Below are 25,278 nucleotides of genomic sequence, written 5' to 3' on the forward strand. Positions count from 1 at the left end.
CAAGGCCTCGGGTGGGAGACAGGCAGCAGGGTGAGCAGGCAGTACACTTGCCTATTCCTCAACTCCACACCAAAATGGGGAGGGCTTTCTTGGGGGGTCATCACTACAGATCCATGAATTTCTTAAGAGACTGGCTTTCTAATTTTAGATTAGGGAACAATAGGGAAGGTGATGAAGGTGAAGGAGGTGTTTAACTTTCTCAGCTGTTCCATCCTTCAAAAAATCATCTTGTTCTCTGCCTCCTTCCTCTGCCTGATTTCCAAAAACCACACAAGTTTGAAGCCTGTCTGTGGTTCCATGGCCAGGAAGGGTGGCTCCTCCCTCTACTTTTCTTGTATTTGCTCTGGATTGTAATGTCTGCTTGGTTTATCCACTTTCCATCTTCCACAAATTTCTGAAAATCTCTTGTTTCTTGATATCCTTTTCTCCTATTTTTAGAACTGCCCTTTTTACTTATGCTGATATTTGGGATGTAGCTGAGGCAAAAGTTTGTGGTCAGTGTGCCTTGAGTCACTAATCCTGATATAGATTTTAACATTTGGAAGGCATACATTTAAAATAAACAAGTAGCATCTATACAAAATATCACAAGGAATTAATCACTCTTGGAAACTATCTTTACTCTGATACTTTCTGAGTCTTCATAGCCTGTAAACCAAATTTATCAACAAACCATTTAGAAAAACAAAGGCAATAAACGAAATTCATTTTTGATCTGTATGAGGTCACCTAGCTTTATAGATTAGAAAAGACTCAATTCAATCAGAAACTCTGTGGGGTCCTAGATATTCCCCAGATTGAATTCAATTGGGAATTTTGTCATGCAGAATTAACAATAGTTTGTCCTTCAGCCTCCAGCTGCCTGGTGCTGTTTCTGGTCCCCTGCCAGTATTTTCCTCCAGACAGCCTTGAGCAGGCTTTGGGAGGAGGAGGGGAAGGAGGAAGGTATGGAACACCCCTCTAGTTAAATAGGAAATTGGGAAATCAGCAGATGTTAGAGGATACTAAAGATCCTCAGAAAAGGCCGAGTGCAGGAATAGCTCACACCTGTAATCTCAGCACCTTGGGAGGCCAAGATGAGAGGATAGCCTGAGCCCAGGAGTTGAAGATCAGCCTGGGCAAACATAGGGACATAGGGAGACCTCATCACTATCAAAAAGAAAAAAAAATAATAATAATACCAGCATGGTGGGGTCCTAGCTACTTGGGGGTTGGGGGAGTGGCAGGGAGGCTGCCGAGACAGGAGGATTGCTCGGGCCTGGGAGGATGAGGCTGCAGTAAGCCAAGATTGCACCACTGCACTCCAGCTGGGCAACAGAGAGACCCTGTCTCAAAAGAAACAAATAAGCAAAAAATAAAAAGATCTTCAGAATATTCCTGGAGCTTTCTTTCCCCATGTGATGTGAAAAATCAAGAACTCTGATGAAAAGAAAAGGCATTATCTGAAACACTCCAAGCCCAAAACAAATGTGTGGGATTGGTTAAGCCCGGAGATCTTTAAAAATTGACATCATTTGGCCAGGCATGGTGGCTCACACCTGTAATCCCAGCACTTTGGGAGGCCAAGGTGGGCAGATCACTTGGGGTCAGGAGTTTGAGACCAGCCGGGCCAAAATACAACAAATTAGCCAGGTGTGGTGATGGGTGCCTGTAATCCCAGCTACTCGGGAGGCTGAGGCAAGAGAATCACTTGAACCCAGGAGGCGGAGGCTGCAGTGAGCTGAGATCGTGCCACTGCACTGCAGCCTGGGTGACAGAGTGAGACTCTGTCTCAATAAATAAATAAATAAATAAATAAATATTAACATTATCCATTCGACAGATACTTATTGGGCATTTTCTTTGTACCAAATACTTTGTACTTGCCAGTGACATAATGGTAAGTAAAGCATGGATACTAATTTTCAAGGAATTCATAGTCTGATGGTTGTATACAGATAAACAAAGAATTATCATCAAATGTAGAAAGCATAATGAAAGCCATCTATACAGGTTTATGAATACACAGAGCAGGAGTACCTATTCAGTGGTGTGCTGGTAAATGTTTAACAAGTGGCTTTGTCGGGGCATGCCTTGATTTATAGCATCCATCAATGTCTCTGGTGTAAATACTCCCACTATGGCCAATTTCAGTCTACCAACTTGATGTCATTGAATGTGGAGTTGCTAAGAGATGTGTGGCACACCATTATAGAGTAGCTCTCCCACATAGATAGAGTAGACTTCAAGAGCACAGAACATAAAATGTAGTAATGATTAGAAAATGATGAATTGTTAGTATTCATTACCTCCGTTTTTAATATCATTTAATTGCAAATTTATATAATTTTAAATGATTGTGTTTACAAGCTAGTTCAAAAAATTCTTTAACATTTAACAATTGGCTCCATAGAAGATGACTTTAACCAATGAAGTCTACTCTTCATTGTGGGCTAGGGCAACAGACTTTCTGCACCATACAAATGAGGGTGAACTCCTTTGCATGAGTAGCTATGTCCATTAGCATTGAAAGAAGACAAGTAACAGAAGAGAAGAGGGAGCAATGAGAAGAGCTGAGATGCTCAGAACATTGCACCGCATACAACCAAAGCAGAAAACTTTATAACCCTGCCTTTCAACTATTTTCTCCATATAATAACCTTCCGCATAAGGGGAGAAGAAAGGGAGAGATCAGTTAGCCCTTAGGTCCCTAAATAGTAAGGACAAAAAATCACATGAAAATTACAATATTCATTTCCATCCCCATGGAACATTCCTTCCAGTCTATGCTGATGTGGACTGCCAAGGAGGGCAGACTTGAAGACTTAACAAAATGATCCACTGGAAATCCTACGTTAGCAGTGGCGCTCATAACTTCATACAGGACTGCAGGCTCAGATTTGCAGGGGTGTTCACACAGTTCTGTGGAATGAGAGCAACTCAGGAGTGGACTCAGCAAATGGTTGAGTCAACTGTCATTTTTAAACTATGTCTTCAAAACTCTCACCAAAATGTATACACACAAATGCGTTATAACCTGTATCAGGCCTCTTTTGATTGCAAATAACAGAAAGACCTGGCTCTAATGGGCTTAGGTGTTAAAGACATTTAATGGCTAACTTAACTGAAGAAGTCTAAGGGAGAGCTCAGAGCTCCCTTAAGGTAGTTCTTGAGCAGGGGCTGAAGTGATGACAGTCAGATATGGTGTCTCTTTCTTTTGGATCCACTGCCATTTTCAGACAGGCTCTGCCCTCAAAGTCACAGGAAGGCTATAGCAGTTTCATAGCCCTTATATCTGCTCAGCTTCTCCCTTCTAGCAGCTGAGTAAAATTCCTGGGCTTGTCTCTGGCTGAAACATATCTAGTAGCATCTCTATGAAGCTGCCAGTACGTTAGGTCCATGGCTCCCAAACTCAGCTAACACAGTAAAGTCACCTGGGGAATGTGTTAAAATGCCAAAGAACAGGCCACACTTCCAGGCAATTAAATCACAATCTCTGGGGTTGGATCCAGGCAACATTATTTTCTTAAGGTTACAAGGTAATTCCAATGGAGAGAAAAATTTAGAAACCCCTGAATTGGGTGCTCATAAAAATAGGAGATTTTAGACTCATCTTCTGATTTACTAAGAAAGTCAAGTTTGATTAATTTCCTTAATGTCCACCTCAAAGTCTTTCTTCCTATGCTTTCCTGTCTCTGTGACAAGAGTGTCCCTCTTGCTCACTCTAGCTGGCTGCCATCTGTCTCGTGGTCTCACACTCACACTGTCTTGCCTGGTTCTAGAGTTCATCCCTCTTCTAGTTTGCATCTTGAAATTTTACCTCCCTACTGGTTCTATCCTTTTAAAAAATGCTCAGATTTCTCCCATCCTATAATAGCCTTCCTTATCCCCCATGACCCCGCCCTCCACCCCCACAGGCTGCTGCCCATCTACAGCCTAACTTTCACCTTCAGACTTCTTAAAAGAGTGGTCTGCCCTTGTTGCCTTTAATGCAGAGAATCCTTATAATCTGGTTTGGACATCAATACCCTGTGAAAACTGTTCTCTCAAAGGTCAGCAATGACCCACTTACAAAACAGAAGGGCTGCTTCTCGCCTCTCCTTCTCTCATCTTTGCTTTGGTTTTTAGATATTACGGTATCCAAACGCTATTTCTCCCACTGTTTTTCTCTCTGCCACCTCTATTAGCTTAAGAAAGCCTTGGGGAAAATGTGTGGGACGTGTATCCTAAACACATTTCTCAGACAATATGTATCAGAAGACTTGAAAGTGAAGATACATGAAGGCAACAATTTAAAGCACAAAATAAATTCTTTAAAGACAATTCAGTATCATGTATTAGACTGAAAACTGGGAAACAAACTAAAGATATATTATCCACATAAGGAAATACTACAGAGACAGTAACAGTTTCCTATGACAAGTGTGTGCTAATGTGCACAAATGGGCAGAATATTAGGAAGAAGATGTAAGACAAAACATGTATTATACATATAATTTCAACTTATTAAAAAGCATAATAATTTGTAAATCAATTTGTTTTCCTCCATTGGTTTCCATTATTATGATGACAACATATCTTTAGTGATATTTAGTTTTACCTTTTCTCCTAATTCATCTGTTTTGAAAATGAATAGAAATTTCCTTAGTACAAATGTAACTTATTGTATTCTTCATATATTCAGCTATTTAATAATGTAGTTGGAATTATTAGTAAGAAGCTCTTTCTCACTTTCTAATACCCCGAGCTTTGCCTGAATTTAGGTGGTCATCATTGACTGAGACATCCAAGACCACTGCTTTTATTGCTTTTTGTAATGGCAAGGTCAAAGTTTCCTTGGTTTGAAGGGTGCAGTAACATCCTTTAAGGAGCTACATGTAATAAATATCTGGGTGCATTTTTTTTTTGGATATATGCGATACTGAAACAAATAATTATTTTAAAAATCTGCAAATAAGATTTTCTTCTGTATATTTAATAAAGCAGCAGTTACTAATTTTAAATTTAACATAATTCTCATGTATATGGGCAAAAAAGTGGTAAGAAACTAAAAGAGAGAAAAAGATGAGTTTCAAACACTGACGGCTTGCCTATCCCTAGAAACTATGTATTTTGCCTCCTCTCAAATAGTGGGAAGTTATCAAATTATATATTTTCCGCCAGAATAAAGTGAATTTACTAATATAAGAATTTCAAATAAATCAACTGTAGTAGAAAATTAAATCATTTTGTTATAGCTAACATGAGTATAAAACAGTTTTCACAAGTAATTTTTAATTTACAGATTAAGAAACTGAAATTTAGTGGGGGAAATTCAGTTTTTTTGTTTGTTTGTTTTTGCCACACAAGTAAAAATAGGAAAGCTAGGAAAGGTTGACATATCTTCTAATTTCTAAGTCTATTCTATTTCCCCTACCATAAGGAATGCTGAGAGATTAGTGTGGTGTTGTCTTGATTAATTTCTCTTTATTATTCTAGATAGGCAGGTCTATGGTTTCTATCCGTTTCTAGAAGAGAAAAAAAATGGCAAAAATGAAACACTGGGGTTCCTCCTGTCCTCCACTTGTGATCTTAGGAATGATTCTTAACTTCTCTGAACCTCTTCTTTTTCATCTGTATGGTGGGGATAATGACGATAATATTGCAAGATTTAAATGAGTTAGTACATGTAAAATGTTTAGAATAGTACCTGGCAGAAAGTAAGTGCTCAATAAATGTTAGCTATCCTTATTTCCATTCTTCCTCCTAAACATTTCCCAAAAGTATATAAGTTAATCGATTAGAATGCCTATCCTACATTGGCCCTCCTTTTCCCAGTAATGAACCAGATATTTCTTCCTAACCTGCTACAATCATATAAGAAGGGTGTAGACTCCTTCTTGTTTATATGGGGTCATACAAGGCATAGCCAAAATTTCCTCTGGAGGATGGGTACCTCCTGGAACGAGGTAAAGTATTTCTAGCATCCAATTCCCATTTGGAAGACAGGGGAGAAATAAATGCGCCATTATGATAATTCTAACTAGTTATATAAACGAAAAGCTTCAGTCCAGTGGAGAGTAAAGCGGTCCAAGCCACTGTTCAATGTAAACTCCCTCAAAGCATGGGCTAGAAGCACAGCAAGAAATCCATCACAATCTGGACCACGAGCAGCACTTGCGCGAGAACAAGACCTGCCTGGGACCCAGCTGCAGCATTCTCCTGTTCAAGTGGGGTCTCTCTATTTGCAAGAGAAATATGCCCCATGCCCTAGCAATAGATGAAACTCCAATAAAACAAGACAGACTTACTTTGTGAAATATCTATTAAGTGCATATTATTTTAAAAAGTTGATAGGCTAGAAAGATAAATACGTTAAATGCACTAGCTTTGATGGCATGAAATGAAGGGGTGGAGGCAAAGCAGAAAGGACATGGTTGCAGGTGAGATTTGGAAAGGGGTGGAAAGTTAACGAGGTGGAGGATACAGTTAAGTTGTTCCAGATGGCAGGATCTGACAGAGAAGGCCAGCGAGGGTTAGCAGAATGGATGAGGATGGGGAGACAGGAGAAATGAGGTCCAGCACAGAGAGAGAGAGCATTCTCAACCCAGATGATGATCAGTTCTGAATCATATCACAGAGTGGATGAGGAATCATTAGAGAAGACTGCTGAAGGAACCACAAGGCTAGACACAGACAGATGGGAAAGAGCAAAGTGACCAGAACAGAAAATCCAAGGCCACCAGCAAAGGAGCCATCAGGTTTGGAACACTGATACTGAACTCTGTGATGGATTCAGAATTCCTTGGATTAAAAGATTCTGCAGATGAGAAAAGATGGGAAATATTTTTCCTCTTCCATTAAGACAAAACATTTAAATGTGTTTCTTTAATTAAGATTACACTTAGGAAATGAGTTTCTAAATAGAAGAACTTTTAAACACAGGATGAGTGTCAGAGTTTAAAGGGATTTAGACGTCACCTGAGTAATCCATTAAAAGTTTATCAGACAAACTGTGAGATTGTTCTTGTCAGAGAGAATTGAGAATAAGATTACTGGTTGTCTGAGATGGTTGAGTTTCAGTTCTCTCTGGAAACAAGTCCTAGACGAATGTCTGACCTTCCCTTTCAAGCATAATGATTCCATGATTGGGGTAAGTGTAAGGAACAATGACTGAAAAAATGAGAGTGAGTGTGATCACAACCCAGCCTTTTAATCTTGCTCAGTGCCAGTGGAGAGAGCAATACCCATACATGCCCAGACAGCAGAAAAGGAGAAAAGATACTGAGGTTGGGAGGAGAAATCAGGAAGAAGAGAGGGAGAGAGAAAGAAAGTAGAATGCACAGCAGGGAGCAGTTCCCTGCCAGCCACAGATGTCTCACTTAGACACCCCATTGGGATGAAGGTCAACGGGGCTGCTTATAGTTTGTTAGTGGGAAAGGGACAGGGAGAGTTAATTCTATTTTAGGCCATATGTGTATTTGGGAAGAGAGAGAAAGTGAAGATAAGTAGAAAATAAAATGACACGTAGGCCAGCTATGATGAAAAATGTTGAAGTCTATACTAAAGTGAAGGCAAAGGTTTCCGACATGAGCTTTGAGCCAGTAGAGAAAAGACAGAGAGAGAGGGTGGGTGGCAGCAAAACAATGAAAGGTGCCCAGAGCCGTGCTCCCTGTGGAATGTCAGTAAATATTAATTGGCTGATGTTGGCATTGGTAGGCAGAGTGAAGCTTGTGAAAGAAAAATGCCATTGCCAGTGGAGCACGAAAGTTCAGATCTCGGAGCTCAAAATGGCAGCACCTGAGCAAGCAGCAGAGTCACATCCCATATCACCAGAGAAAGTGATTCTCTGCATATGAGGCCAAACTGTCTCAAGGAAAAGTAATCACACAATCATGACAAGAGAAAAAGAACAAAGTCTGTGGGAGCCATGAAAATATCTCCCCTTCTCTGAGAACATACTCCCTTCCCCTGAGGTATGGTAGCCCCTAGCTGAGAAACCAGGGCTGTCCCAGGTAAACAGCTGTGAAGGTAGGTGCCAAGAAGCCTAGATTTACCCACTCCAGAAAACCCTTTTGTCAGATGTCTCTGGAAACCTCACAAAATGTTATTTTGGGATTTGGCTCTAAGGTTGGGTAATTGGTAGACTCTCATTCTGGAGGAAGAAAAGAACGGCATTGCTTCTTTAGATTTCAATATTAGATGGGAAACGGAATGCTTTTGACGGTGCTTGGTGTTTTCATGAACCAAAGTTCCTCTCATAATGGCAGGCATGGGCCTTTTGGGTAAAGGTTATTTTCTTGCTCTTGTTCTACATTGGTAGGTACCTGATAAGGCAAAATGATTGAAACAGTGGCTTGAAACATTAATAAGAAAATGACTCAATTCCCAAGTCAGAGAAGTGCTAAGTTTACCTGAAATATATTCTACTATAATACTGTGGATCAGTGTCTATGTGGAGTGATCCAAGGACTTGTCTAGAAATACATGTTTTATACATCTTTTAAAATTACATCTGACCTAAAGAAAAAATATTTATTGTTCAATAATATATTCATTTTAAAAATGCTTTTTACACCTATAAATTGTCCCAGCCCAGAATTCTAAGTGCAAAAATGTCAGTGTCTGGCACATAGTAGGTACTTAATCGATATTTGTTAAGTATGTATTAGATATATGAAGAATGTAAGAATCAAGTAAAAATATCAAGAATGTGGGTGTTTGTAGAAAATTGTTTCCCTTTTATTCCATCATTTTCTCCTTAAGAAAATTAAGAAGAAATTGCAATTGCCATATTGCTTTTTCTTGTGGGTGATATCAACCACAAATAGCAAGGTAGTTTTGGAGTCATGAAGCAAACTTCCCCCTGCTAAGATCTGGGTAAGGTTTTAGCCACAAGAGGCCTAATAAAGCTCTTGAAGCATTTCCTAAGAGCTCACAGAAGATTTAAATGCCCTACTACTTTCAACTAGACAAATCCAATTCATTTTAACAAACAGTTTTGAAGTGCCTACTAAGTGTAATGCCTTGTGCTAAATGTCTGGAAGAGTGAGTGTTAGGTGGAGCCCTCAATGGGTATAAAGAAATATGTATGTTTGGGAGTTGAGGGTGAGGGTGTGGGAGTTGTGTGAGTAGGGAGAATGGGACAAGAAAGAAACTTCAAGTGTATATCCACCCCTGTCCCCAAATACACTCCTGACCCTAAAAGAAAGGTCATTTTAATATTGTAATTACATATGTTTCCTGGTTTTATCATTACAGCTTAAGAAAACAGCACCACAAGTATGGGTGGGGTGCTAGAACTCAATGAATCCACTTTGGAACAAGAAGCATGGGTGGAACTTGAACGTTGTTGGACAAGACTGAAGCAGATGGCAAGGCAAGGTACCGTGTTACTCAGGTGCATTCTTGTAAGTATTTGGACAGCCAGTTAAACACAAAGAAGAACCCAATTATGGCAAATTGATTCTGCAAAGAGATTTTATTTTAATCATCAACTGACAGTCTTAAGTTAAATACCAAATAGAGCAGACATAAAGATTTTGGAAAAAAGTGTGAGGTAGCAACTCCAAAGCAGTTATCAATACTTTCCTCAATTATCTAGATTTTTAGCGACTATCTTAGTAAACACTTAAATCTCCTTTCAATGCAGGAGATCAATGCTTCCATAAAATTCAGAAAACTGAGAAAGTTAAAAATATTTGTAAGAACTATAAATTGCTTGGGTTCACTCTCTTCCTTGTATGTAGTACTTATAAAAGAACTGATACAGATGAATAGAAAATACTGATTGTTTCATGTTTATGATGTAAGAAGACCATCAACTTCTCAACATCAAGATAAGTAAATGCCAAAATCAGGTCAGAAAAGAACTTTTCAGAATAAGGGCCTGCCTTTAAAAGTCTCAGCCAAAACCGTAACAGAAAGGATAGTCTCTTAGTCATGATTTATAAACAGAAATTGTACGTCTGTACCAATTGTAGAGGATAAAGTCAAAACAGAATTTACAGCCTCCTGCTAATAGCCTAATTTAAAATGTATAATCTTCCCTACATTTCCCCCAAAGTACCTTTTAAAGGACTCACTCTGCTATCCAAACAACTTGCAAATGCATTCGGTAAGTTGGTCTACAGTATTTATTCTCTTTCCTGTTATTGACTCAAGATCTATTTCTCATGATTTGCTTTGTGCTCATTCTTCTGCCAGATAAAATATTAATTGCATTTTTAGCTGCACTGCTGGTGATCAAAGAATTCTGATATGTCAAGCTAAACTGACAGAAATAGCATCCATTAACATATTTATAGGTTCAGAGCTTCTAGAACATAATTATATCCATTAATTACTCAACAGTACTCTATATTACAGGCTGAAAAAGAAAGGCATTTGCAACTAAATACTTTTACTCAGAATGAAGTTTTTTTTTAAATAATAAATTTTCTCTAAGGAAGGTTCTATCTAAAGGAAATAAGGCAAGAGAGCTCACATATCTATATGGACACAAGGCAGGATTTTTAAGGCATCCATTTACTAACTTTGCAATAGAATGCTCACAAAGTAAACGAGATGGCACATCCAGAATGGTTTCAAATAAAATAATACCTTAAATATTACAGAGAAATTTAATTACTATTTTAGAGTTCTAAGAGTGACAATCTGAAGCTGGTAATTCTTGATGATAAGATTCCGAGCAATGATTTTTACTTTCAAATAAACTTCTAGTATTACATAGGACCAAAGCATTTGGAATTACATACTTTTCTGAACATGCAATTCTAACACATAAAGAAATTAAAGCTGTCCAGGGAAAAAGCTCTTAAGATGTTGGAAAGTCATAGAACAAACAATTATTCTGTGGATCCACCAGCTGTGCGAGTCCTGAATCTGCCAGCTGCATTTAGTATATGTATCATAGAAAGGACAGTAACACACACTTGACTCCTTTTGGCCAGTTAATCAGCATGCAAAATGACGGTTTCCCACAATAACTTCAGCACCGGACCCAAACACATTCTCTTTTCAGCAAAGAATGAAGTCATTAAAAAAAAAATCACACAAGCTGCTTTCATAATTTCAGCACGAACACAACCGAGATGTAAGGACAGAAAGCAAAGCCGAGTCTACCTGTACATATGTATCTATACATATTTCACTGAGTTCTTTGTTGCCTGACAATAAATTGCAAAGGCAGTCATATTTGAAAGTAAAAACCATTAAACTGTGTTTATAGGATACTGCAACAGACTCGCTGAGGGAATAACAAGGAAAGCACGATACCTTTAGTAAGTCGCCTCAGAATTTGACAACGGCATTTAAAAGAGACAGCTATCATTCTTGCTCACTGCTTTCTGTGGCAAAGTGTACTCAAGGCTCTCTGCTCTGGTGGCTGCAGCAGCAGCAGCATATGAATTCCTTGCGCACATACCAGGAGAAAGGTAGTCCCAGTGGGGAGTGACAAAGCTTAATTCCTCTTGGCTGATGCAGAGGTCCGCTACATGTCATCTGGCAAATCTGTGTCATTCACTACTACTACCACCCCTGCCTGCCACAGCCTCCTCCCCCTTCACAATCACAATGGCTTAGAAAGTAATGCCGTTTCGATAGCAACAAAGCACCAAATTGTACAAAGCAGGGACGACACTGTGTGAGGAGCCATTCCATAAATCTAACGCTAAGCACTGAACAGTGCATTCTGTTTAAGGCAAAAGGCGATGTATCCAGTCAGTTCAGCCACCATCAGCCCCTTTCCTTCTCAGCATCAAGTCAGTGTCCTTTATATGTCTCATTTAATGGGAAATGCAAGTGAAATGCTTACACTCTTACTTTAGGAAGAAATGCATGGGTCATGTACTATGTTCTTTAAACAACAACCAAAAAAAAAAAAAAAAAAAAGGAAAGAAAAAGAGGGAGGGCCGTTTATATTTGGGATTGAGGAAAGAATCACAGTTCTGCCTATAGCGGGGAAGCAGCTCTAGGACAGAGACCTCTTTGGTACTTCCTGAACCTATGAGAGTTAAGGCAGTGTCTGTTTATAGAGGGAATACAAGAAAGGGTTAGGGCTAGGCAGACAATCAGGCAGATGGAGTCCCAGCCCCTTTAATCACCCTTCCAAAAAAGGACTTGGCTGGAAAGCAACACAGTCAAGACTGTTTCTAAAGATACCAGAAATAAAGGCAAACAAGGCCAAGTATTTCTATTTTTAATATACTTTATTATACTATTTCCCAAACAACCATCCCCCAAACCATTCTTCTCATTATGCAAATAAAACGGTCTTGCGACATAGCAGATATTTGTGAGTATCTGCTCCAATGGAGTGAAGAGCAAATTAACAAACCCTTCACAATCCATTCACAAAGTGATAAGAAGGCGGAGCACACCTCCTCATCTGCCAGCAGCAGCCTGCTCGCCATATAGTCAATACGAACTAACATTTGGTAGGGAATTTTAATCAAAATCCAGAATTCTCCCACAGGAGTTAACATAAACATTCAGGACAAAAAATTAGACAGTTGGCCAGGAAGTTTAAGAAAAAAAAAATCAATTAGTCAAAATGAAAAGATATATCACTGTCTAAACTACTTGATTAATATTTCTAGGACTTTATGAATTATTCATACAGTTTTATTCTCTACTCTTCAGGCTGTGAAAAAACTTTCAAGCTGGTTTTTAAAATAACTTCCAACATTCCAAATTTAGTGGTAAAACTTTCTTTTCTTCATTCATAAATTCAATATGAACTCAAACAATTTCAATCCACTGCTATTGAAATGCATATGCTTTGTATTTTGAGTCCAATAGAAAAATAATTTGTGTGTGAAAAACATCTGAATATCATAAGCATCTACTTTAAAGGTTTTTGAAAAGAACAGAATTCTTTTACCAAGGATGGTCTAGCTAAAGCAACCACTAATCAATAGAAAATACTATATTAAATGGACTGCAGTGCAAAATCAAATTTTTATAATTGTTCTGATTAGCATAAATCTTTCTTTGAATTTCAACCCATATTATGTTCATCTCTATTAGGTTATCCCTAGAAATAGTTTAGCCTCCTTGATATTTTTTTGCTTTAAATAGAAATATACCTTAGTACTAGAGAACTGAGTTACTAGCTAAAGTGAGATAAATACTTACAGTTAGCTCTTTCCAAGATTCTTCTCCAAATCTAACATATTTCCTAAAATCCAGGCACTCAGAATACGCAGCTGTCAATTACTATTAGTAGAATCTTGCCTGTGGAACACCACCACCCCAGCCCAGTCTATTCAAATACAACTCAAAACCATACAGGAATCTCTTGCCTTCTGCTATTTTGCAGACTCAAATCCAATTTGCTTTTTCCTTATGACTAAAATGATCAAATATTTTCCCCTTTTCCTAATATGCTTATTTTTTTTGTTTTGTTTTAAAAGCTCTATCCTCTGGTCCCAAGAAAGGTCTTCAGAACTACTAAAATGTCCTATTTCTTTGGCAGGGGAAATAACCCATCATGGAGCTCTTTGAAAGGTTTCTGAGAGCCCAAACTAGGGGATTGTTTTTTCTCTCTTTGAATACTGTGGCTGCCAATCCATATCTATCCTATTAGTCTGCCCAGGTGCAGCCCCAGGAATCTTACAGAAATGGAGCCTCCTGGAGTAATTCTTTTCCAGAAAATGAACGAATTCACCAGGTATTCCCATCTTCTTCCATTTCTGGCCTCGCTAATGCTTGGAGATTTCCTGGGGAGCCACTCCCAGGTCAACCTTCTTGCCCTAAACCCTTTGTCCTCCCTTTGCCTAATGCAAGCTTAGCCTCCCATCCTGAACTCTAGCACTGGTAAAATGCCTTCCAACAATGCAAGCCTTCTATCTCAAAATGTATCGATCTGTAGGATGAAGGTCTCAAATGGCCAAGGCAACCGGTGGAATGTGGACCACAGGCTCCTAACATGAGCTACTACAAGGCAGAGTGACCTACATTTCTTGGCTACCAGATCAATGTAAGCATGTGTCTTTGGGACCTGTCATGAACATGTTAATTATGGTGGCTCAGCTGTCTAGACAGTTCAAACTTTACAACATGCTCTGTGAGGGTCACCAAGTAGGGGTTATGGAAAAAGAAGGCAGGTAAAATTGTACAAAATACAGATTTGATTAAGCCCCAATGTGATCTGAAGAAGAGTGAGTGAGCTAGTTCAAGAGGTTTACCCCTCTTAAAAACACAAACACCTCAATACATGAAAACATGGGTTTGCTGGATTCAGGGCAGACTAGTCCCTTAAGATGATAATTCTTATTTCAGGGTTTCTTTAAAACATTAGTTTTGCTAAGGTGTAATACAAGTGTACCACGTTTACATAGAATTTAATGAATTAGAAGGCACTTTCACACATAATGTATCATGGAGCGACTCTGTTATAGGTTTTTGATGCAGAAAAGGAAAACTGGTTTCAGAGAAGGTGTTTTTCATCAAAGTCATTCAGCTAGTAAGTGGTAAAGAACAGGAAAGAACCATAGCTTCTCACCCCTGGCTAATCATTCTTTCTCCTCTTGTTTTTCACTGCTTCCTTGCCACCAATACAAAATGTGATCTAGTTTACAGGGGGACAAATTCAATTAACAAAGTACCTTTAAGTGCAGTTATCTTTTGACAGAGGGAAAAACTAGTGCCTATCACCTTCTCCCCTCTGAAGCACAGCTCATGGTTCTAGGACCACCCTGACCAGAAGGAACCAGAAACAGGTGACAGTTAAGGCAAGTACCGTCTGGTGAAAGACCATTACGTATCAAGTGTTTACAGGAATCCCTTCTCACTGCATGGTTAGCCCATCCTGACTGGCCTGTGTCATGCTGGTTTTGAAATATTTGGAATATCACCTCCATTGACAATATGGTACTAATTTTATCATAAGAAGGGGGTGGGTTGTGGTGTATGGACAAACAAAACCTTAAGATTGGCTCAAAGATTCCAATATAGTCTCAAAACCAAAGCATTCCACAGCTTCATCAGCAGGTGGCACACATAGCCCCATAATCTTATTCTAATTTTCTCATTTCCTTGATTCTCCGCCATTGTATTCATTCTTTTATATAACATCTCCATCCCAAAAATAAATAGCGCTGTTTGGAGGTTCTTCTGATTCTTAACAAGAAAGAATCATCATAAACCAAAAATGTTCTGCCATATGCCTAAACCTGGAAATTCATTTTGCAAAAAACCAAAACAATGAGGTTAATCCCACAAATACTCAACTATTTTATATCATTAGAATCAATTTGATTAAAGTGCTAAAATAATTTGCACTTTCTTCAACTTCATAAATCTTTCTGTTACAAAATATACCTGATAGATCCCATTTATTTGCTTATTCATTTAACTATTACATTTCTTTTCCTTTGCATGCTGTTGCTTAAAAATGCTTAACATGCTTAGCTCACTATTTAAACAGCATGGAACATCCTGACTTGGCTAGTATTGAATATACTGATCCCCACACCCCCTACCCTGCAACACATACACAGTTATTAAATGTTGTGTATTTCCCAAATCTTCCGGGTATTTTAAAACTCAGTGTTCTCGGAGGTCTTAAAATGCGACTCTCACCCACTTTTTCATCTCCTTACAGACAACGTCACTGACTCATTCTTAGCTTATTATAATCGGCCATTTTTACTTCCCTTTTCAAAGATGCCAAAAGCAACCATGAGCTCAAACATGTTATAATTCTTGTGACCACTGTCTGCTACTTAGTTCAACTAGTGTGTCAACATGAGACCAAACATTAGGGTCAGACAAGGGAGATGTACACTGAACAGAACTCGCCAGTAATGAGCTGTCATGAAGGACTATTAAAAAAGCAAGACCCAATTTGCTGACACAGGTTCTAAGGGTGTGAAAAGTTGGTGTAATTGCCCAAGACAGAATTTATCAGGCATTTTTTAAAGCAAATATTTTATGAGAAAACATTTTTATAGAAGTAATGATGCCCTTTAGGAAGTGTCATTAGGACATACTCTTGCAAATCTGGGGTGATTAAAAAGCACTTAGTAGCTCAGGGCCTCTGGTGTGTTGTGATATAAAAGGGTGGGTATAATGCACACTTCATGTGTCATTTGCTTATCTAGGCAGGGCTCTGATGCCCGTAACAGTGCCAAGGAAAGAAGGTTGCCTCCACTGAACATGAAGAGACCAGGAAAGCTCCTGTGAAGGTAACAACCTTAGAAATTCATCAGCTAAAAGCATCTGGTGGAAAATGTTAAAGATAGAATATGTAGAAATTGAGAAATGCTTGTACAAGAGGAAAAATCTACCAGAAATCATCCTCCTAAGAGCCTAGGTATGTCCAACTGTTTATGGAGGTATTATGTAGGAGAGAATGGTGTAATGGCCAAAAACACAGCTTGGAATCAAATTGCCTGACTTTGACTCTTGGCTTTTGCCACTAAATGGCTGCGTGACCTTGGGCAAGTTTCTTAACCTTTCTGTTCTTCATTTGCAAAACGGTAAAAATCATTTCTAGGCTTGTTTGAATGGTAAACTGAGTTTATCTGTGTAACGTGCCTAGAACAGAGAGCAGTAACAGCTTTTATTAGCCACTTTGTATTTGGTAGGAAATACAATTGTACAATTTGACACTTGCTTACAGAACCCAGACTCTTCCTTAAATTAGCTCCATGTGATTAGTATGGATTGGTTTGGTCAGAGAAATCATAAGCAGGTGGAATTGGGATTAACAAGTAAAACGCACCCTTTTCCACAACATTTTCTGTCATTACAATGGCACGAAGTAATTTCCCTTCTTTGACTCCTGCAACCTCTTCCTGTTCTCATGCCTCTTCTTTCTCTACCCTTAAATGTCGGAATTCCCCCAAGCTCTGTCACAGCATGTTGGTCACCTTCTTCAGCATTTTATCCTCTCCTAGGGCTCCAGCAATGACTTCTTTGCTTTGACTCTCAAATCTCAACTGTCAGCCCAAATTTGCTCCCTCATTTAAAACTCCCTTCCCCTGGCGGGGGACGGTGGCTCATACCTGTAATGCCAGCACTTTGGGAGGCCGAGGTGGGCAGATCACTTGAGGTCAGGAGTTCAAGACCAGTCTGGCCAACATGGTGAAACCCTGTGTCTACTAAAAACACAAAAATTAGCCAGGCGTGGTGGTGCACACCTGTAATCCCAGCTACTCAGGAGGCTGAGGCAGGAGAATCACTTGAACCCAAGAGGCGGAGGTTGCAGTGAGCAGAGATCCCACCAGTGCACTCTAGCCTGGATGACAGAGCAAGACTCTGTCGAAATGAAATGAAATGAAATGGAACAAAACGAAACGAAACGAAACAAAACTACCTTCTCTCATCCTTGAGTCCAACATCTGTGGGCAGCCTTCATGACCATCTCCAACTAGATTTGAACTGTATCAAGCTCCATTTCCTTCCCAGTAGGACACACGTTCCTCTTCCATGAGCTCACTACATCATCACCCTCTTTCTTAAGCTCACCTTTAAAATACCTCTTAATATACTCCCACCTGACTGCCAGCATCCTAGTCCAGACCTTCACAGTTACTGTGCACAGGAGTTTTCTCCTACAGACCTTTACTGATTACCTTGTTCTAGGCACTGAGGTTCTGGGCCCCACACATGGGTTCTTCCTCCTAACTCATCCCAGAATCATTGACCAACACTTGCTTTTATTTGTATGAATGTCTGAGTAGTTCTTTGGGGGCAGGGGGAAGTATTACTTTTCAAATTTTGTAGGGCTAGTCAAATTTTGTTCTTTTTTTTTAAGGGCTAAATTAATAAGTACTTTAATATAAATAATCTCATGGATTTAGGATATCATACAGCTGAGTTATGTCAGATACTTTGACCAACAATTTGCAGATAAAAGCACATTATTTGAATAATAAAGAAAAGTGGAAACCCAATAGGGAGAGGTTCTATATTTATCCAAATTAAAAAGATTAATTTTCAATACATAGACTAAAGCTGTCTTAAAAGAATGTTCATTTTCCACACTCCCAGGATATAGCGGTGGTGGGCTTATGCGCTACTAGGAAGGAAAGAAACACAGCTACTTCAAAAATCCAACCCCAACCATAAGGAGCAGTGATGTGCGCACAGCAGCTAGGTTAGATCAAGGGAAGAAATTAGATTTCTAAAACAGGTTGGATGAAGTAGTTTATTGACAGTACTCCCTCCATACCCAGCTTATCACCCTTTCTTGTTTTATTTTATTCCTATGTCACTAATCACCATCTAACACGCTACCTATTTGGATTATTTTTCTGTTTATTGTCTGCTGCTCCCTGCCCATGGCTTTTTTTAAAACTGAGGGCAGGATTTTTTGGTCTATTTTGTTCATTGTTTAGAACAGTACCTAGCACATAGCGCCAATGTTCAATAAACTTTTGTCGAATAAATAAATGTGAAAGGATTTCCCTTCTAGTGGATTTCTTTTATATGCAATACTGTTTGTAAAACTCTTATGGAAAAGAGGACGCTCATAAATTACTTTAAAAAAACAACAATAGCTCTGCCACTTTAAGAGAAAATTCTTCCAAATAACATGATTCTTGAATGTTAACTGTTTGCAGAGGAGAAAAAGGAAAAGGCATGTGTTTTGTGCCCACCTTTCCAGAGCACACCTCAGATTCATTCCTGGTGCTTCTGACAAGATCATAAGGACCCTGTTGTTCACCAAATATGAAGAAACATACAGCCCAGCTAGTTGTTCACTGAAGTCAGAGGCAGCAAGAGCAACAAAGAAAAAGGCAAAGTAAAGATGCTAAAATTAAAAATTTGTCTTGGTCTGTGTATGAAGGAAATACCAAATACACATTCATCCTGATAGTAGATTCTGGTCTAACATGCATAATTATAGCCTGTCAAGGACATAATGTATCTCTAAAGTAATTCATGCGTCTGTTTTTGGAAGCTCTAGTAATACATTGCTAAAAACTCTGTAATTCCATCTTCAATAGGGCTTTGTACTACAACAACCTCCAAACTAACCTGCTTGCTGTTCCAGCTGCTATTTTGATGACTTTCTTTTTGTGGCATAGGAAGGAGCTAAGTTTTCCATATTAAGAATGCATATATTAAAAACAAACTAACTACAAGACCTTCTTGCTGTTCCAGCTGCTATTTTGATGACTTTCTTTTTGTGGCATAGGAAGGAGTTAAGTTTTCCATATTAAGAATGCATATATTAAAAACAAACTACAAAGCCAGGCCAGTGGCTCACACCTGTAATCTCAGCACTTTGGGAGGCTGAGGCAGGAGGATCACTTGAGCCCAGGAGTTTGAAACCAACATGGGCAATATAGTGAGACCTTGTCTCTACCAAAATATTTTAAAACTCAGCAGGCTCATGTGATGGCACACACCTGTGGTCCCAGCTACTCAGGAGGCAGAGGTGGGAGGATTGCTTGAGCCCAGGAGGTTGAGCTGTAGTGAACCATGATTGTGCCACTGCACTCCAGCCTGGGTGAGACAGCAAGACCCTATCTCAACAAAACAAAACAAAACAAACAGACAAAAACAAAAACAAAAACCACTACAATAAAGCCTCCTCAATTCTAAGACACGTTACTCCTTCAAATAAAACTGTACTGACAATATTTTAAGGTATCCTATCGAGTATATATTAACATAATTATCTTTTCTGATACAATGAAGTGGAAATACTCTGTCACCCCTTCAAGCAATGTGTACTATGAGTCACCAAAACACATGCAATTAGGTGACAAATACTAACACCTAGAATATTTTAATCAAATATCACTAACTGTAATAATGGTGGAAAGTAAGGAAAAGGAAAATTAAACATGGGCAATAGGATGGTAGAGTTGAAAGATGTCTAAGGAGTCAGAAGCCTCAGGTTAAAATTCTAATGTAGTTACATATTGGCTGTTTCATCTTGGGTAAAAGTGACTGAGCACACCCCCTATGCCAGCCACCATGATGGGCCCTGGATGTAAAAAGGTGAAAAAAAAAATACAATTCCTTTGCTGGAAAAGTATATTCACAGGGAAAGTTCTAACTCACAATACTAAACATGTAGTTCTAAATTTTAACTTAAAAGCTACAGAACCCATTTATACCAAAGGTCAGTTAATCCACATGAATTGCTCATGCTTAAACAGCATCAAGGGCTCCTTCCTCTTCAGGGAATAACACCTTAATTTTCTCTTGCGGACCCACTCTCGGTCCATGTGGTGTGCATGGAGCTGGCACTCCCCTACGTCTACCCCTCCAGGTATGGGTATCAAGGCTGACTAAGTGGAACATACAATCCCTTAGTCACGGGGACTGGTCCAGAAATAGGCAGTCACACAAGCCATGCTAATGAGATGTAATCCCAGAACTTTTGTTAGAACTGCTGCAAAGAAGATAGTCTGCATTCCACTGGGAATGGCAGGCTATGTACTTGGAGTTGCTATCTTATCACCACATGGGAAAAGCTGACTTTGAATCATACCAAGACAGAGGAAAATAGAGTCGAGGGATGGAGAGTGACATATTCCTGGAGATGCCATTGGAACATCCGGATTCATCCATTTCTAAATCCCTAATACACCGGACTTAGTTACTTCGGTCAGTATGGTCTCCATTTTGCTAATTTAGTTGGAGTTGGATTTCTGTCACTTGGGATCAAAGAGTCTTGTCTAATACTCTTTTTTAAGCTTTAGATTCTTGATCTGCAAAATAAGGCAGTTGTGTCTCTAAAATTCCTTACAGTTCTACCATTCTGTTACAGTACTGAATTTACCAATTTCACTGGGCTGCTGTGATGATCAAATTAGATAATAAATAAGAAAGCACTTTGTCAATTTTCAAGTGCTTTACAAAGAGTACGACTGGCTATGAAAATAATATTCAAATATATGTGTATTTGTGTGTACACTGAAAAATTAGGAGGCTCCAGAGTCCATTCCATTTGTAATATAGTTATATAAGAAGCATAGACTCAGAAAACAACAAAGAAAAAGGTCTCACTCTTGTGCTTCTCTCTTAGGAAATTCACATTTTACCAAATCTCAAAGGTTTCTGCTCATAATATCTTGTCTTCCTAAGTTCATTACCAAAACCCAGAAGGGTCCTTTTCTTTCACTTAAAAAAACAGTGCCTATTATTTTCCACTTTATTTCCATAAAAATGACATTAAAGTGCTCCTTGGGGATGTTTTGCAAACACTTTCAATCACCAATCACTGACTCTGAAAAAAAAAAAAAAGGAAAGGCATTTTATTTTCCTTCAAAGGAGGAAACAACCCTCTAATAATGTCTAAAGGGGAAAAGGGCTCTATAAAAATGGGCGCCGTGAAAAACCATGGAAAAGATAAAAGAAGTCAGGGTTGAAGGACATTCTTCACTGGGTCTCTTCCTCTCATCAGGCACCTTCTTAACATCCAGGTGCACAAGCCCCCTGCAGTCTAGCAAGTACACCTTCCCTTTCAGGTCTGCACAGCTGCACAGTCAGGCAAGCAGCTACTAGAGGGCAGCAAAGGATCAGAAATGGGAGTGCAGGGCTCAGGCAGGCTGGCTGGGAACTGACCAGACGACCAAATTGAGGCCAGATACTTGAAGACAACCTCGGTCCAGTTTCCCATCAAAAGACAGGAAGGATCATGGGATCCCTCTAAGTTCTTAGATGAGTATAACAAAGCTTGTGTTGACAGTAATCCAAAAATTTAGCACAGTATCTGGTGACAGTAACAGAGGCCGAGTTGTCAAGAAACGAGGGGCACATGGGAAAGCCAAGGGGGAGCCGAAGTCCAGGAAAAGCAGGCGGAAGGTCAGGGGAACCTGGGTTCTGGTCAGAATTCTGGGAACCAATCAAGTCAATCATTGTCATTGTCATCATGATCATCATCAACATGGCTAGCACTCACTTACTTCTCTGTGTGCTAGCCATGGCTTAAGTCTATATATACATTTCAAAAGGCATATGCAGGAGAAACATTTTTACCTAGCTTTACTGAGGTGTATTTGGCATAAAATAAAAATTGTATATATTCAAGGTATACAACATGATGATTTAATATATATATACACTGTTAAATGACCACAATCAATTAACATATTCATCACCACTCAGCATTGATGTGGGTGTGACGGGGGTCATGAGGGTACTTAAGATCTACTCTCTTACCAAATTTCAAGTAAACAATACAGTATTATTAACTATAGTCACCATGCTGTACATTAGATCTCCAGAACTTATTCTTTTTGTAATTGAAAGTTCGTACCCTTTGATCAACATCTCCCCATTTCCCCCACTCCCAGACCTCTGGCAGCCACCATTTTACTCTTTTATGAATTGGACATTTTAATGTATTGTAATTTTAAAATTATTTATTTTTATTTATTTATTTATTTATTTTTGAGACAGGGCCTCGCTTTCTTGCCCAGGCTAGAGTGCAGGGATGTGATCATGGCTTGCTGTAGCTTCAGCCTCCAGGGCTCAGACAATTCTCCTGCCTCAGCCTCCTGAGTAGCTGGGACCACAGGCAAATGCCATCACACATGGCTAATTTCTTCTATTTTCTGTAGAGAAGGGCTGTCCCTACATTGCCCAGGCTGGTCTTGAACTCCTGGGCTCAAGCAATCCTCCTGCCTTGGTCTCCTGAAGTGCTAGGATTACAGGCGTGAACCACCACATCCAGCCAAATTTGACTTTTTTAGATTCCACATATAAGTGAGATCATATAATATTGGTCTTTCTGTGTCTGGCTTATTTCACTTAACATAATATCCTCCAGGCTCATCTATATTGTAGTAAATGGCAGGATTTCCTTCTTTTCATTGCTCAATAATATTACACACACACACACACACACACACACCACATACACCATATTTTCTTTATTTACTCATTTCTTGATGGACACTTAGGTTGTTTCCACATATTGGCTACTGTGCAATTAACACGGAGGGTACAGGTGTCTTTTCAAGATGCCGATTTCATTTCTTTTGGATATATACCCGCAAGTGGGATTACTGGATTGTTTAGTACTATTTTTAATTTTTTAGACCAAGCACGATGGCTCATGTCTATAACCCCAAGAATCTGGGACGTCAAGTCAGGAGAACCAGCTGAGCTCAGGAGTTTATGACCAGCCTAAGCAACATAGCGAGACCTTGTCTCTAATAAAAATTAAAAAAAAATTTTTTCAAAAAATTTTTTTTAATTTTTATTAGAGACAAGTTCTCGCTATGTTGCTTAGAAAAATTAACCAGGCATTGTGGTGTGTGCCTGTAGTCCCAGGTATCCGGGAGGCTAAGGCAGGAGGATTGCTTGAGCTCAGGAGTTTGAAGCTGCAGTGAGCTATGATCCTGCCACTGCAGTCCAGCCTGGGCAATAGAGCAAGACCCAGTGTCAAAAACAAAACAACAAAACAAAAAAACCTCCATACTGTTTTCCATAATGGTTGCACTAATTTACATTTCCAACAACAGTGTAAATAGGTTCCCTTTTCTCCATGCTAGCCAGCTATGCTATTTGCTCAACCCAAGAAATACAAGAATTAGTCAAGGGTAATTTTCATTTTATGAGATTTTTGTTTCATGCTTTAACTTCAGAACTAACCTCCACCACTCAACTCCAGTGCAACCACTACTAAATTCAATGACTTCTAAACCAAACCTTATTTGTCACTTCTCATAGTCAAGGTTTTTCTTTAAGGAATGTGCCTTCAGTCATTTGTATCTGTGGTCCTGGTGGAAGGCAAAAGCACAAACTATTAGAAACATTGGGTTTGTTCAAGTGCTGTGATTTGTGCTTAGGCTGAATAAGAAAAACTATCAAATGAATACACTAGAGGTTTCTTCCATAAAGCAAAGGGAAAAGTCTAAATATTTCATTAAAAATACAACAGGGAGGAATTTACTTTCAAGTTTTTACAAGGAATTAAAAAATACATATACTTTTCCAAAGTTAGATCCATCAACTTTTACCTTTCTTGTTATATAGATCTCTGAATGGTTCTTAATGGTTGCCTACGTTATCAAGCCTGGAATTCGACAATGCTCCCACCATGCCCTTGTCCACTCATTCTTCCGAAAGTTTGGTTCTAAGTCCCAGTGGTGAATGAAAGTGTCCTCTTTACAAGCATCTTTTATTCTAAAGCTACCTTTCTTTTGCCTTTATATCTAATACTTTATTTTTAGAAATGACATTAAAATTAGTCCCTAGGAAGAGAGTCCTTCCATAGATTCTCTCTCTTAACTTGTTTGCGTAGGGAAATGCAGGCGCTTAATTGATCAAAAGGGACTCACAGAAGGATGAACTATTTTGCAGAAGCATGCTAATGGAAATGCACCAACCGCTAAGACCCACTGCTCACAGGAAGCATCATAAAACTGGTGAGCTGATGGAAGTGCAAAGCTGTAAAGTAACAGCCAAATTTATCTTTTTTTAAAAAATAAAAGGTATCTTCCAAGTAGAAAATTAGAGAACCATTTGATATAATTCACTGCATTTGACAGCTTTGGAGTAGATTTATACCCTGCTTTTTTCCTCCCACCTTCAGTTTTCCATTATCAATCTCTCAGCAGGGTTTGGATTTCAGCATTGGCACCAATAGACAGAACTGGAAACAAGTGCATTCTGCAAATCACTGCATGCTCCCATGTCATAATCTCAATTCTCATTCCTCAGATACAGATTCTAGGTTGCAGCTGCAGATTAAAGTCAATTCTCTAAAATTACAACTGTAATTTCTCACTTATTTCAGGAGTTCCAATTGTGTAACCCTGTAGGAAGTTTCACTCATATGAGGAAGTTCAAATGAAACAGAAATTTGAGTGGAGAATTAAGCTGTCCCTTCCTTTTTTGGCACTGCGTCTACATGGCATCTTACAACTCTTTGATTGCTGTGATGACAGGCAGGGCCAAACTAGTCAGGAGACAAAAGACAAGGCCATCTATCACCATTATTTGGAAATTTCATCTAGCAAAGGATTTATGATCTGTTCATTTTGGAGGAGATTTAAAAAAAAACAAAGATTGAATAAAGTATGTCTGGTGATACATGAAAATGAGATGATGAGATGGATTTTACAGAAGACCTGGGGCTGACTGCATTTGGTCAGAAGTGCCACATTGTCATGGCAGAGAGGAGGGGATTTGTCTAGGACCACTGAGCACCACAGCTGAGAGTTCTTTGAAAAACAACCAGTACCCAGAGTATCCCAGAGGCAGTCAGGACAGCACAGTGATAAGAGTGTGGGCTCTGGGACCAGACTGCCTGGGTTTGAATCTAGGAAATGAGCTACGACAAGTTACTAAATATTCCTGTGCCTCAGTTTCTCTAGCTACTCATAGGATTATTACAGAATT

At 39.1% G+C, this 25,278-nt stretch overlaps 1 protein-coding gene across 18 annotated transcripts in view, besides 1 other annotated feature; it reads right to left on the bottom strand.

The window, feature by feature from the left end:
• Positions 1-25,278, bottom strand: part of GRIP1 (glutamate receptor interacting protein 1) — a 721,908-nt gene that overhangs the window by 320,184 nt on the left and 376,446 nt on the right. For 5 of the 18 annotated variants that reach the window (NM_001178074.2, NM_021150.4, XM_047428621.1 and 2 more), the window contains exon 1: positions 11,236-11,462. The exons of the other annotated variants lie outside the window; for them this stretch is intronic. In NM_001178074.2, the coding sequence (NP_001171545.1) occupies positions 11,236-11,290 (55 nt within the window). In that variant the 5' untranslated portion in view covers positions 11,291-11,462. Of the gene's footprint in view, positions 1-11,235; positions 11,463-25,278 lie in introns of those variants that run through there. 18 annotated transcript variants of the gene reach the window in all.
• Positions 21,478-21,527: a silencer, noted in NCBI's record as "silent region_4638". NCBI's record gives its function as "represses an Ori minimal core promoter by ATAC-STARR-seq in GM12878 lymphoblastoid cells {active_cell/tissue: GM12878}" and the evidence as "EXISTENCE:reporter gene assay evidence [ECO:0000049][PMID:35858748]".

The sequence above is a fragment of the Homo sapiens genome, chromosome 12 (genome assembly GCF_000001405.40).
Source record: "Homo sapiens chromosome 12, GRCh38.p14 Primary Assembly".
Taxonomy (NCBI): Eukaryota; Metazoa; Chordata; class Mammalia; order Primates; family Hominidae; genus Homo; species Homo sapiens.